Genomic DNA, 16,001 nt, shown 5'->3' with positions numbered 1-16,001 from the left:
CGCAGTGGCTCACGCCTGTAATCCCAGCACTTTGGGAGGCCGAGGCGGGCGGATCACCTGAGGTCAGGAGTTTGAGACCAGCCTGGCCAACATAGTGAAACTCCATCTCTACTAGAAATACAAAAATTAGCCAGGCGTGGTGGTGCATGCCAGTAATCCCAGCTACTCGGGAGGCTGAGGCAGGAGAATCTCTTGAACCAGGGAGGTGGAGGTTGCAGTGGGTTAAGATCGTGCCACTGCACTCCAGCCTGGGTGATGGAGCAAGACTCTGTCTCAAAAAATAATAATAATAATAATAAAACAAAAAAAAAATCGCTACGGTAAAGGAATGAAACCACTCACTCAAAACAACTTTTCCAATATTAGATGATAAAAATCTATAACACATGACTGTATGTCCATTACATCTAACCCAGTACTTTAGAATAATCTTGTCACAATCTCATGAAATATTAAAAACATTGATTGATGATATTATCTGAGCTCAGCATGATGAAAAATAAAATATCCAAGATAGAAGATAAAGCTCTACATCAGAAATTAAAATAAATAAGAACTCTCATGAACAACTGTTAATCAAAGAAGAAACCAAAATCAAATTTCAGAATGTCTAGAAAATAACAAAATTGAAAACATTACATTTATAAGATCTTAACCAAAACAGTACGTAGAGAAACATTTATTGTATTCAATGTTTATATTACTAAATGAGAAGAAAAACCAAAAAAAGAATGAAATAGGTATTCAACCTAAGAAGTTAGAAATTTATCGACAAGCTAAGAAAAACCAACAAAAGATATCAGTAAAAGAAGACAGAAAACAAACAAACAAAAAACAGTAGAACAAATCAATACATTTTCTTTTCCTTTGGGAAATTTGCTCTAAGTAAAATCCAGAAAAGAAGCAAAAATAACTCGATACACCACTAATTGATTAGTAGAAAAAGGAATAAAACCATAAATACGTATATCACTCATCTGTCACTTATATCTTCAACACAAAGGTTAAAAGAAATGAACATTAAAAATAACTATAATGCTGAGCATGGTGGCTCACACCTGTGATCCCAGAGCTTTGGGAGGCTGAGGCAGGAGGATCTCTTGAGGCCAGGAGTTCAAGGTTATAGTGAGCTATGATTGAGCCACTGCAGTCCAGCCTGAATGACAGCAAGACCCTGTCTCTAAAAAAAAAAAAAAAAAAAAAAAAAAAAACACAAAACAAAAAAACTGTAACTACAATAATTTGTTAATGGATTCACAATATAAAAAGATGTATCAAGGCTGGGTGCAGGGGCTCACGCCAGTAATCTCAGCACTTTGGGAGGCCAAGGTGGGCAGATTGCTTGAGCTCAGGAGTTTGAGACCAGCCTGGGAAACATGGCGAAACCCCGTCTCTACAAAAAATAACAAAAATTAGCTGGGCGTGGTGGTGGGTGCCAGTAGTCCCAGCTACTCAGGAGACTGAGGTAGGAGGATGGCTTAAGCTCAGTAGGCAAAGGTTGTAGTGAGCCGAGGTTGCACCACTGCACTCCAGACTGGGTGACAGAGCCAGATCCTGTCTCAAAAAAAAAAAAAAAAAAAAAAAAAAGATGTATCAAAACATCATGTCATACACTATAAATATGTATAATTTTTATTTGTCAATTAAAAATAAATTTAAAAAATTACAGACATATGTATTTATTTTTCATTTGTTCAGGCATTCCACAACCAAGTATTACATTTCTACTGTGTTTATGTAAGTGTTGCTGAAAAAAAACACAGAGTCTCCATTTTTACAAGTGAAAAATTGGTGTATTACTTGCCCTTCCTATTGTGTAATGTGATCAAAAGTGCTCTGTAAAACCTGGCCAAACATAATGTGGATTTTTTTAAATGGATAAATAGGTATGTTCTGGGTATAGTGGCTCATCCGTGTAATCTCAGCACTTTGAGAGGCCAAAACAGGAGGATCCCTTGAGACCGGGAGTTTGAGACTACCCTGGTCAATAGAGTGAGACTCTATCTTTACAAAAAATTTAAAAATTAGCCAGATATTGACTGGGCACGGTGGCTTACACCTATAATCCCAGCACTTTGGGAGCCCGAGGCGGGCAGATCGCCTGAGGTCAGGAGTTCGAGACCAGCCTGGCCAACATGGTGAAACCCTGTCTCTACTAAAAAATACAAAAATTAGCTGGACGTGGTAGCAGGCACCTGTAATCCCAGCTATTTGGGAGGCTGAGGCAGGAGAATCGCTTGAACCTGGGAGGCGGAGGTTGCAGTGAGCCGAGATCATGCCATTGCACTCCAGCCTGGGCAACAAGAGTGAGACTTTGTTACCGCCTCCCGCCCTCAAAAAAAAAATTAGCCAGATATTGTGGTGTGTAACTGAAGTCCTGCTATTTGGGATGCTGAGGTAGGAGGACTGCGTAAGCCCAGGAGTTCTGCAGTGAGCTGTAATCGTGCCACTGCACTCCAGCCTGGATGACACTGTGAGACTCCTTCTCTAAAATAAATAACCATAATTTTATATGGATTATTTTAGTTGAGAAGATGAAAAGTGTTGCAAATTGTGTTGTGTATCTGCACCTCTGTGTTCCATATCTTGAATTTATTAGAATGATTAAGGTTGATTATTAGTGTCTTGATATCTAGACACAGATTACATAAATTGAAGAAAACCATCTTCTGTCTCTTATTTTAATACTTCCCTTGTTTATTGTAAATGGCAGATGTTTATGTAATAGAAGAAAGCTCTGTTAGTATGTACTTTTGATGACTTTGCACCAAGAAAAATGCATTTAACATATATATAAACCTGTGCAAAATGTGTTCCTTAGAGTTAGAACTCAAAATGAATTTGAGATGTTGTATTGCCTGTTCTAGTATTACTTCCTCGTCTAAATTGCTTCAGTGATTTTCTATATCCTTCTAGGAAAAACAAGACTAAAGTTCTGTCATGTCCTATTTACCTATCTAGGCTTATCTCAAACCATCACTTATCTGAGTCAGTTCTTAGCATAGATGAATATGCAAATTGTGACATCAAAAATACAGAATGTGGCCAGACGTGGTGGTTCACACCTGTAATCTCGGCACACTGGGAGGCCAATGCAGTCAGATCACTTGAGGCCAGGAGTTCGAGAGCAGCCTGGCCAACATGGTGAAACCCCATCTCTACTAAAAATACAAAAATTACCAGGGCATGGTTGCATGCACCCGTAATCCCAGCTACTCAAGAGGCTGAGGTTGGAGAACTGCTTGAACCCAGGAGGTGGACGTTGTAGTGAGTCAAGATCATGCCATTGCACTCCAGCCTGGGTAACAGAGTAAGACTTTGTGTGTGTGTGTGTGTGTGTGTGTGTGTGTGTGTGTGTGTGGTGTATAAAATATTTATTTTTTTCAAGTTTCTTCAAATGTCATAATTAAAATATATATAGAGAATGTTGGGGAGGGGATCAAATTTAAATTACTATAAGCTTAAAATAGCATGTTATAACTATAAGGTGTTATATGTAAGCCTCATGGTAATCACAAAGAAAAGACCTATCAAAGATACGTAAAAGATAAAGAGAAATGAATGAAAGCGTATCTAGTTATAGTTTAAATATGGTTTGTCTACTTTAAACCTCATGTTGAATTTTTAAAAAACTTTTAAATTTCAGTAGCTTCAGAGGCACTAGTGTTTTTTGGTTACATGGATGAATTGGATAGTGGTGAAGTCTAGGATTTTAGTGCATCTGTCACCTGAGTAGTGTACATTGTACCCAATAGGTAGTTTTTCATCCCTCAGCCCCCTCTCACCCTCTTCCCTTCTGAGTCTCTAATGCCCATTATACCATTCTGTATGCCTTTGTGTGCCCATAGCTTAGCTCCCACTTATAAATGAGAACATGTGGTATTTTGGACTCATGTTGAAATTTGATTTTCTATGTTGGAGGTGGGGCGTAATGTGAGATGTTTGGATTGTGGGGGCAGATCTCTCATGAGTAAGTTAATGCCCTCCATTGGGGGTGACTGTGTTCTCACTCTGTTAGTTCCCATGAGAGGTAATTGTTAAACAGAGCCTTGCACCTCCGCCTCTGGCTTCCTCTCTTGCCATGAGATCTCTGCATATTCCAGCTCCCCTTCACCTCCTACCATAAATGGAAGCCCTCACCAGATGCCCAATCTTGAACTTTTCCAAACATCAGAATTGTAGCCAAAGAAACCTTTTTTCTTTAAAAATTACTCAGCCTCGGATATCCCTTCATAGCAATACAAAACAGAATAAGACAATACCATTACAGAAAATCATCATATCACAAAGAAAGACAGCAAGAGAGGAAGAAAGAAACAAAGGATCTGCCAAACAGCCAGACAACAATGAACAAAATGGAAATAGTCCTTACTTTCAGTAATTATTTTACATTAAATAAATTAAACTCACTGATCAAAAGACATGGAATGGCTGAAAGGATAGAAAAAAGACTCAACTCTATGCTGCTTACAAAACACTCACTTCAGCTTCAAGAATAAACGTGAACTGAAAGTAAAGAGATATAAAAAGACATCCCATACAAAAGGAAACCAGAAGAGAGGAGGAGTAGCCACACTTATGTCAGACAAATACATTTTAAGTCAAAAACTGTGAAAAGAGACATACAGTGCCATTATATCGTGATAAAGAGATCAATTCATCAAGATGATAGAACAATAGGTAATATGGAACAATATATAATACACACACACACACACACACACACACACTATTATGTACCCAACATTGGAGAACATAAATACATAAAGAAAATATTAATAGGTCTGAAGGGAGAAGTAGACAGCAAGACAATAATAGTAGGAGACTTCAACATTGCACTTTCAACAATGGATAGATTTTCCAGACAGAAAATCAATAAGAAAACATTGGACTTGAACTATACTTTAGACTAAATGGACCTAACAGACACATACAGAATATTCCATCCAACAGCAGCAGGATACACATTCTTCTGAAGCACACATAAAACATTCTCTAAGATCATATATTAGGCCACAAAACAAGTCTTAACAAATTTCAAAAATTGAAACAATGTGGTCAGGAGTGGTGGCTCCTGTCTGTAATTCTAGCACTTTGGGAGGCTGAGATGGGAGGATCGCATGAAGCCAGGAATTTGAGACCAGCCTGGTCAACGTATCAAGACTCTATTTATGTATATTTTAATGTATTTATTATAAAAATCTATTATATGTATCTATGTATATTTTTGTATATTTTATAAAAATTAAAAAAAATGAAACTATGTCAACTATCTTTTCCAACAACAGTGGTATGAAATTAGAAATAAATAACAGAAGGAAAACTGGAAACTCAGAAATATATGGAAATTAAACATCATACTCCTGAACAACCAATGGGTCAAAGAAGAAATTGAAGGAGAAATTAAAAAAAATATATTGAGACAAACAAAAATGGAAACCCTACATAACAAAATGTATGGAATGCAGTAAAAACAGTTCCAACAAGGAAGTTTATAGCAATAAATACCTACATTAAAAAAGAAGAAGGATCTCAAATAAGTAATCTAACATTATTCCTTAAGGAACTCAAAAAAGAAGAACAAACTAAGCCCAATGTTAGTAGAAGAAACGAAATAATACAGATCAGAGCAGGAAAAAAAAAAGAGAATAGGAAAAGAATAGAAAAGATCAACAAAACTTTTTTGAAGACATAAACAAAATTGACAAACCTTTAGCTAGCCTAAGAACAAAAGAGAGATGACTCAAATAAAATTAGAAACCAAAGAGGAGCCATTACAGCAGATAACACAGAAATACAAAGGATTGGCTGGGCACAGTGGCCCAGGCCAAGGTGGGTGGATCACTTAAGGTCAGGAGTTCGAGATCAGCCTGGCCAACATGGCAAAACCCCGTCTCTGCTAAAAATACAAAAATTATCTGGGCATAGTCGTGTGCGCCTGTTGTCCCAGCTACTCAGGAGGCTAAGGCACAAGAATAATCTGAACCTAAGAGGCAGAGGGTGCAGTGAGCTGAGATCGCGCCACTGCATTCCAGCCTGGGCAATAGGGTGAGACTCTGTCAAAAAAAAAAAAAAAAAAAAAAAAAAAGAAGGAAATACAAGGATCATAGGAGACTACTATGAATAATTATATAACAACAAATTGGATAACCTAGAATAAACAGATAAATTCCTAGAAATATACAACCTGACAAGACTGAATCATGAAGAAATAGAAAATTCGGACAGATCAGTAAGGAGATTAAATATTAAATCACTAATAAGCCAATGTGGTGGCTTATGCCTGTAATCCCAGCACTTGGGAGGCCGAGGTGGGCCGATTACGAGGTCAGGAGTTTGAGACCAGCCGGACCAACATGGTGAAACCCTGTCTCCACTAAAAACATGAAAATTAGCTGGGTGTGGTGGTGGGCACCTGTAATCCTAGCTACTTGGGATGCTGAGGCAGGAGAATTGCTTGAAACTGGAAGGCGGAGGTTGGAGTGAGCAGAGCTTGCACCACTGCACTCCAGCCTGGGCGAAAGAGCGAAACTCCATCTCAAAAAAAAAAAAAAAAAAAAGAAAAAGAAAAAAGAAAAAAAAGCCTTAGACCTGATGGCTTCACTGCTGAATTCTACCAACATTTAAGGAAGCATGAGTACTAGTACTTCTCAAACTCCTCAAAAAATTAAAGAGGAAGAAACACTTTCCAACTGGATTTGTGAGGCCAATATTATCCTGACATGAAAGCCAGACAAGAACACTCCAAAAAAAAAAAAAAAAAAAATTACAGCCCAATATTCCTGAGGAACGTAGACGCAAAAATCTTCAACAATAGACTTGCAAACCAAATTCAATTGCATATTAAAAGGATCACTCACCATGATCAACTTGGATTTATGCCTGGGATGCAAAGATGGCTCAACATATGCAAATCAGTAAATGTTATACATTGTATTAACAAAGTGAAGGACAAAAATCATGTCAATAGATGCATAAAAAGCATTTGACAAAATTCAGCATCCTTTAATGATTAAAACTCTGAACAAATTAGTTATAAAAGGAATGTTCCTTAGCACAATAAAGTCCATATATTACCAGCCCACAGCTAACATCATACGCAATGGTGAAAAGATGAATATCTTTTATCTAAGATTGGGAACAAGACAAGGATGTCCACTATTAAGAAATGGGAAACACCAAGTGTTTTTCCTAATCCCACATACCCCTCAGCACAACACTTCTAATGCAAAATGTGTAGGGGCTCTTCACCAGACTTCCAAGCCATTCTCCAGCAGACACCAACTGGGTGTCCTACAACTTAACTCAATTCTGATACCATCTACCTAGAGATAGAGTCAGATCCCACAGGTTAAGGACTCAGCTCCTTGAGACTGCCCCCATTTCAGATGTCAATGGTAAGCCTCAGGTTGTGACCTGTGCTTCTGACCGGTCAGCTCTAAATTGGGGTTCTCAAGACCCCCTCCTTGGGTTCTATTAATTTGCTAGAGTGGCTCACAAAACTCAGGGAAATACTTTACTTACATCTACCTATTTATTACAAAGGATATTTTAAAGAATACAAATGAACAGCCAGATGAAGAGATACATAGGGTGGAGTCTGGAAGGGTCCGGAGCATAGGAGCTTTCATCCCTATGGAGTTGGGGTACACTACCCTTCCAGTATGTAAATGTGTTCACCAACCAGAAAGCTCTCCAAAACCTGTCTCTTTAGGTTTTTGTTGTTGTTGTTATTGTTGTTGTTGTTTTTAGACAGAGTTCCTTCTCTGTTGCCCAGGCTGGAGTGCTGCAGTGTGATCTCAGCTCACTGCAACCTCTGCCTCTTGGGTACAAGCAATTCTGCTGCCTCAGCCTCCCAAGTAGCTGGGACTACAGGCACGCACCACAATGCCCAGCTAATTTTTGTATTTTTAGTAGAGATGGGGTTTCACCATGTTGGCCAGGCTGGTCTTAAACTCCTGACCTTAGGTGATCTGCCTGCCTCAGCCTCCCAAAGTGCTGGGATTACAGGCATGAACCACTGCACCCAGCCATCTTTAGGTTTTTAATGGAGACTTCATTAGGTAGGTATGATTGGCCTTTGATGACCAAATCAGCCTTCAACCCCTCTCCCCTCCCTAGAGGTGGGGGGTGTGGCTGAAAGTTTCAACCCTCCAATCACATGGTTGGCACCCCTGGCAACTATCCTGTGGTTATCTAGGAGTACTCAGTGATCAGCCATCTCATTAGCATACAAAAATACATATCGCTTTGCAGATTTCAAGGATTTTAGCAGCTTTGTGCCTGGAACCAGGGACAGAGACCAAGTATATATATATTTTATTATATCACAATATTACACTCACTCTCACCACTTTTTTTTTCAACATAGTACTGAAGTCCTAGCCAAAGGAATTGGGCAACATAAAGAAATAAAAGTCATCCAAATCAGAAAAGAAGTCAAAATGTCTCTGTTTGCTGATTACAAGATTTTATGTATAGAACAACCTAAAGATTCTACCCAAAAGTGTTAGAATTAATAAATGAATTCAGTTAAGTTTTAGGATACAGCATCTACATATAAAAATCACTTGTGTTTCTATACTTTGGCAATAAACTATCTGAACAAGAAATTTTTTAAAAAGTCACATTTATAATAGCATCAACGGGAATAAAATAATTAGAAATAAATTTAACCAAAAAGGTGAAATATCTGTATACTGAAAACTATGAAACATAATGAATTAATGAATAAAATTGAAGAAGACACAAATAAATAGGTATTTCATGTTTATGGATCAGAAGAATCAATATTGGAAACTTGTCTATATTACTGAAAGTGATCTATAGATTTAATGCAATTCCTATGAAAATGCCAATGTCATTTTTCATGGAAATAGAAAAAAAATCATAACATTTATATGGCACCTCAAGAGACCCTGAATAGTTAAAGCAATCTTGATCAAGAAGAACAAAGCTGGAGGCTTTGTGTTCTGATTTCAAATTTCATTACAAAGTGATAGTAACTAAAGCAATATGATACAAGCATAAAAACAAACACACATAAACCAATGGGATGTAACAGGAAACCAATAAATAAACCAATACATATATGATCAAGTAATCTTCAATAAAGATGCCAAGAATATACAATGCAGAGAGAATAGTCTCTTCAGTGAATGATGTTGGGAAAATTGGATATCCACATTCAAAAAGAAACAAAAAAATGAAATTGGATTCTTATCTTACACCATGCACAAAAATCAACTCAAACTTGATTAAAGATTTAAATGCAAGATCTGAAACCATAAAATTCCTAAAAGAAAATATAGGGGAAAAGCTCTATGACAGAGGTCTTGTCAATGACACCAAAAGCACAAGCAACAAAAGCAAAAATAAGCAGGCAGGATTATATCAAAGTAAAAAGTTTCTGCAAAGCAAAGGAAACAATCAGCAAAACGAAAAGTCAGCCCACAGAATGAGAGAGAATATGCACAAACCATAGATCCTATAAGGAGTTTATATCCAAAATATATAAGGAACTCTTACAACTCAGTAGTAGAAAAACAACCTGATTTTAAAATGAGCAAAGAACCTGAACAGATATTTTTCCAAGGAAGACATACAAATACTCAACAGAAAAAGGCAATAAATGGCAATTATCAAAACCATGAAAGATATCAAGTATTGGCAAGAATGTGGAGAAACTGGAACTCTTGTACGCTATTGGTGGGAATGTGAAATGGTGCAGCCACTGTGGGAAACAGTATAAAGGGTGCTCAAAAAATTAAAAATAAAACTACCACATGACGCAGCAATCCCACTTTTGGGTATATCCAAAAGAACCACAATCAGGATCTTGAAAAAGGTGGATATCTGGACTCCCATGTTCATTGCAGCAGCATTTTTCATGATAGCGAAGATACAGAAACAATCTAAATGTCTGTCAGTGGGTGAATGGACAAGGAAATTATACATATATATGTGTAATACACACATACTTCATTAGGTAGGTATGATTGGTCTTTGATGACCAAATCAACCTTTAACCCCTCTCCGCTTCCTAGAGGTGGGGGTGGGGCTGAAAGTTTTAACCCTCCAATCACATAGTTGGCAGCCCTGGCAACTATCCTGTGGTTATTTGGAGTACTCAGTGATCAGCCATCTCATTAGCATACAAAAAGACATATCACTTTGTAGATTCCAAGGATTTTAGCAGCTGTGTGCCAGGAACCAGGGACAGAGACCAAATATATATTTATACTTGATATATATATCAAGTATACATACACACACTTATTATAACAAACTATTATTCAGCCTGAACAAAGAAAGAAATCCTACCTTTTGCAACAACATGGATGAATCTGGAGGAGATTTTGCTAATTAAATGTCAGATATAAGAAGATGAATACTTACATGTGGAATCTAAAATAGCTGAACCCATAGAAACAAAGAATAGAAGGGTAGTAACAGGGTTGAGGTAGGGGAGAAATGAGGAGATGTTGGTCAAAGGATACAACCTTGCAGTTAGAAGATGAATAAGTTCTGGAGACCTAAGGTATGGCATGGTGACTATGGTCAATAATACTATATTGTATACTTGAAATTTGCTAAGATAGAGCTTGAGTATTCTCAACACACACACACACACACACACACACACACACACACAAGAAAAATCAAAGGAAAAGGTAACTGTGAGATAATGGATACGTTAATTAGCTTAATTGTGCAAATCATTTCACAATGTATAGGTATATCAAAATATCACATTATATACCTTGAACATATACAATTTTTATATGTCAGTTATACCTGAAGAAAGCTAAAAATATAGGGGAAAAAGCCACCTATGGATTCTTAGCCACACATGAATAATGTTAGGCAGAGATTTCTGAAACAGAAAATCTCCAGTAAGAACAACTGAAGAAAAAAAAAGAAAATATTTAAAAAATTATTTGAGATATAGCCAAGTTTAGTGATGAAATCAAGGTTAGATTAACCAAAAGATTACATAACTATACCTAGGGGATTGTATGTCCATAGTTTCTAGTCTTAGATTATTATTTATAAACATAGTAATTATGAATTTTGGTCTAAATCTTTAGTAAATAAGTTTTTAGACAAAAGGCAACAAAGAAACAAAACATCCCAACAAAGTCTCAGATTCTTCTTCTTCTTTTGTGTAGGTGAGATCTCACAATGTTGTGCTGGTCTTGAACTCCTGGCCTTAAGTGGTTCTCCTGCCTCGGCCTCCCAAAGTGTTGGGATTACAGGCATGAACATCATGTCTGTCCCTTTTCTTCTGATATATATTATAAAAATAAAACAAAAATACATTACTTGTATAAAAGCATGACTAAGCTCAAATTATTTTTGCATAAAAAAGTCTACAAATAACAGAATCTAGCCCTCATGTCGTTTTCCAATAATCTTCAGGATATACCACTTTGCAATCACTGGGAACTAAACAAAGCTGAAGTTTCTTTGCTAAGAAAGTTAGTAAATGCCACAAATAAGAGAAGTCATAATATCCTGGTTTCTCTGGAAGGAGGACATGAATTGAGAAGCAGGTGAGAACCTCCTGGAGTGCTGGAAATATTTTATCTCTTGATCTGGGTGTCAGTGACATGGGTGTTGGTATGGTTTGGATCTGTGTCCCCCCGCAAATCTCATGTCTAATTGTAATCCCCAATGTTAAAAGGGAGACCTGGTAGGAGGTAATTGGATCATGAAGGGGTGGATCCTTCATGAATGGCTTGGTACCACCCCCGTGGTGCTGTTCTAGTGATAGAGTTCTCATGAAATCTTGCTGTTTAAAAGTATGTAGCACTTCTCTCCTGCCCTCTCTTGTTCCTGCTCTGGCTGTATAAGATGAGCCTGTTTCTCCTTTGTGTTTTGCCGTGATTGTAAGTCTCCTGAAGCCTCCCTAGAAGCTGAGCAGATAGCCTGCATCATGTTTCCTGTACAGCCTCTGGAACCATGAGCCAATTAAACCTCTTTTCTTTATAAATTACCAGTCTCAGGTATTTCTTTATAACAGTGCAGGAATGAACTAATACAAAAATTGGTACTGAAGAGTGGAGCATTGCTATAAAGATACCTGAAAATGTGGAAGTGACTTTGGAACTGGGTAATGGGCAGAGGTTGGAAGAGTGTGGAGGGCTCAGAAGAAGACAGGAAGATGAGGAAAAATTTGGCACTTCCTAGAGACTTGTTAAATTCTTGTGACCAAAAGGCTGACAGTGATATGAACAATGAAGTCCAGGCTGAGGAGGTCTCATATGGAACTGAAGAATGTATTGGGAACTGGGGTAATGGTCACTTTTGCTATGCTTTAGCAAAAAATCTGGCTGCATTGTGCCCCTGCTCTAGGGATCTGTGGAACTTTGAACTTGAGAGTGATGATTTAGGGTATCTGGTGGAAGAAATTTCTAAGCAGCAAAGTATTCAAGATGTGGTTTGGCTGCTTCTCACCACTTATGCTTATATGCATGAGCAAAGAAATGATCTGAAACTGGAACTTATATTTAAAACGCAAGCACAGCATAAAAGTTTGGAAAACCTGCAGACTGGCCATGTGGCAGAAAAGAAAAACCCATTTTTCAGGGGAAGAATTCAAGCAGGCTGCAGAAGTTTGCATAAGTAAAGAGGAGCCAAGTACTAACAGCCAAGACAATGGGCAAGAGGTCTTGAAGGCATTTCAGAGACTTTCGCAGCCACTTCCATCACAGGCCCAGAGGCATAGCAGGACTGAATGGTTTTGTGGGCCAGGCCCTGGGCCCCACTACCCTGTACAACCTTGGGACCCTGCTCCCTCCATCCCAGTCACTCCAGCTCCAGCCGTGGATCAAAGGGGACCAGGAACAGCTTGGGCCTCTGCTTCAGAGGGTGCAATCTGTAAGCCTTGGTGACTTCCATGTGGTGTTAAGCCTTCAGGTGCACAGAATATAAGAGTTGAGTCTTGGGAGCTTTTGCCTAGACTTCAGAAGATGTATAGAAAAGCCTTGATGTCCAGACAGAAGCCCATTGCAGAGGCATAGCCCTCATGGAGAACGTCTACTAGGGCAGTGCAGAGGAGAAATGTGGGGTTGGAGCCCCCACAGAGTCCCCACTGGGGCATTGCCTAGTGGAGCTGTGAGAAGAAGGCCACCATTCTCCAGACCTCTGAATAGTAGAGCTACTGACAGCTCACACCCTGAGCCTGGAAAAGCTTCAGGCACTCAATGCCAGCCCTTGAGAGCAGCTGAAAGGGATGAACTCTGCAAAGCCACAGGGGTGGAGCTGCACAAGGCTTTGGGGGAACCCTTCCACCAGTGTGTCTTGGATGTGACACATGGAGTCAAAGGAGATTATTTTGGGGCTTTAAGATTTAATGACTGCCCTGCTGGGTTTTGGACTTACATGGGGCCTGTGGTCCCTTTATTTTGGCCAATTTCTCCCTTATGGAACAGGAGTATTTACCCAATGCCTATATTAGGAGTGACTAACTTGTTTTTTATTTTACAGGCTCGTAGGTGGAAGGGACTTGCTTTGTCTCGGATGAGACTGTGGACTTTTGAGTTAATGCTGGAATGAGTTAAGACTTTGAAGGACTGTTGGGAGGGCATGATTGTATTTTGAAATGTGAGAAGGACATGAGATTTGGGAGGGGCCAGGGGCAGAATGATACGGTTTGGATCTGTGTTCCACCCAAATCTCATGTCAAATTGTAATCCCCAGTGTTGGAGGTGGGGCGTGGTGGGAGGTGATTGGGGCATGGGGGTGGATCCTTCATGAATGGTTTAACATCATTCCCTTGGTGCTATTCTCTTGATAAGAGTTCTAATGAAATCTGGTTGTTGAGAAGTGTGTGGCACCTCCCCAACCCCCACTGCACTCCCTTGCTCCTGCCTGGGCCATGTGAGATGAGCCTGCTTCTCCTTCACCTCCCGCCATGATTGCAAGTTTCCTGAGGCCTCCCCAGAAGCTGAGCAGATGGCCAGCATCATTCTTCCTGTACAGCCTGTGGAACTGTGAGCCAGTTAAACCTCTTTTCTTTATAAATTACCCCATCTCAGGTATTTCTTTATAGCAATGCAAGAATGGAATAATACAGGTGTGTATATATGTAAAAAATATCACTGAGCTGTACATTTCAGATTAGTGTACTTTATGTACTTTACTGTGAGTGTGTGTATTTATATATACTCATATATATGTATAACAACATAAATTACAAATAGTTTAATATGAAGGCAAAATTCTTTATCAAGGGATGTGAATTCAGTAGTGCTCAGTGTGCACAGTCATCTATTTTCTGTGGGCATCAGGGTGATTCATACAGTTTTCAATATACTTTGTTACCACAAATTTGTAGAGTAGGTAAGGGCCTGTCATGACATTAAAGGTATTATTGTATTCCTGCCACAGCTCATTAAAGTCTCACACTTCGTATTTTCTCTAAGATACATTAAGAAAAATTATCTAAAATTTGAAAGTGGATGAAAAAAAAATGTGTCGACTTTCAGTGTTGTGGGGATTGTCTAGCAGGCTTCCTCAAGGACTGATTCCCCTCAGGGGAAACTTTGTAACTTTTTTTGATTTGCTGTTAATTATTTGTGGTATAGGGTTCCTAAGACCACCCTCGGGTTCAATAATTTGCTGGAAGGAACCACAGAACTCAGAAAAGCTGTTCTACTCATAGTTATGGTTTATTATAGAAAAAGAATTTAGATTTATTATCCAAGGTAAAAGGACAATATGGCAGAGTCCAAGAGAGAGACCAGGCACAAATTTCTACTTGTTCTCTCTCAGTGGAGTTGTATAGATAGTGCTTAACTTTTCCAGCAGTGATGTGTGACAACACGTAAGTAGTATTGTCAACCAGGGAAACTTATCTAAACGTTGAGATCCAGCGTTTTTTGTTTTTTTTTGTTTTTGAGACGGAGTCTCGCTCTGTCACCCAGGCTGGAAGCAGTGGCACGATCTCGGCTCACTGCAAGCTCTGCCTCCCGGGTTCATACCATTCTCCTGCCTCAGCCTCCCGAGTAGCTGGGACCACCAGCACCCGCCACCATGCCCGGCTAAGTTTTTGTATTTTTAGTAGAGACAGCGTTTCACCATGTTAGCCCGGATGGTCTCGATCTCCTGACCTTGTGATTCGCCCGCCTCGGCCTCCCAAAGTGCTGGGATTACAGGTGTGAGCCACCACGCCCGGCCCTAGATCCAGGGTTTTTATTGGGGGTCAGTCATATAGGCTTGGAGTGCCCACATAGCTGACCTTAGTTACTCAGTCTCCAGCCCTTTGGAGTCAAACTGACATCATGTAGCCACCTGCCTCCCCACCCCCCTTCATAAATCACATTGTTAGCATAAACTGTCTAGTGTGGCCCAAAGCCCCAGATAAGCAAAGACATTCTTCTCAGGAATGACATTCCAAGGGCTTAGAGGTTATCTCCCAATAAGTGGTTAATGGCCAGACCTTTCTTTGGAAGGTGCAGGGTTTGGATTTCCCAGGTCAGCTGAGTGAACTGTTTAATAGGGTAATTTACAATTTTGTAAGAGTAGTTATTAACTAATAGAAACCTGGTAGTGATGAAAATGATTCTTGTCCAATAACAATGCAAATGGATCTTTTATTGTAGAGATATAAATTATTAAATCTGGTAGAAAAGATAAACTCAAAAGTTATATAGTTGTATTGCCTTTCAGAAGGCTAAACTGGTTTGGAGCTAAATGAGCAATTTGATCCAAGCATCCTTTCTTTCAGCTGCTGAAACATTTTACTTTCTCCAATTCTCTTGGTATTTCTCTTACCGTTTTTCTGTTTCCATCATTAATGAGATAATTAAATCACTGGTATGTACTCATTTTGTATTTACATAAAAATCATATTTTTGATTTTTTTTTTTTTTGAGATGGAGCTTCGCGCTTGTTGCCCAGGTTAGAGTGCAATGGCGCAATCTCAGCTCACCACAACCTCTGCCTCCAAGGTTCAAGTAATTCTTCTGCCTCAGCCTTCCCGAGTAGCTGGGATT

General features: G+C 39.0%; 2 annotated features.

The window, feature by feature from the left end:
• Nucleotides 4,009-4,118: an enhancer, noted in NCBI's record as "active region_26741". NCBI's record gives its function as "activates an Ori minimal core promoter by ATAC-STARR-seq in GM12878 lymphoblastoid cells {active_cell/tissue: GM12878}" and the evidence as "EXISTENCE:reporter gene assay evidence [ECO:0000049][PMID:35858748]".
• Nucleotides 9,843-10,419: an enhancer, noted in NCBI's record as "OCT4-NANOG hESC enhancer chr7:137816818-137817394 (GRCh37/hg19 assembly coordinates)". NCBI's record gives its function as "activates a minimal SCP1, AML or CMV promoter by ChIP-STARR-seq in naive H9 embryonic stem cells {active_cell/tissue: H9 hESC(naive)}" and the evidence as "EXISTENCE:reporter gene assay evidence [ECO:0000049][PMID:30033119]".

Source organism: Homo sapiens, chromosome 7, assembly GCF_000001405.40.
Source record: "Homo sapiens chromosome 7, GRCh38.p14 Primary Assembly".
NCBI lineage: Eukaryota > Metazoa > Chordata > Mammalia > Primates > Hominidae > Homo > Homo sapiens.
This window is presented reverse-complemented; position numbering and strand designations above follow the sequence as displayed.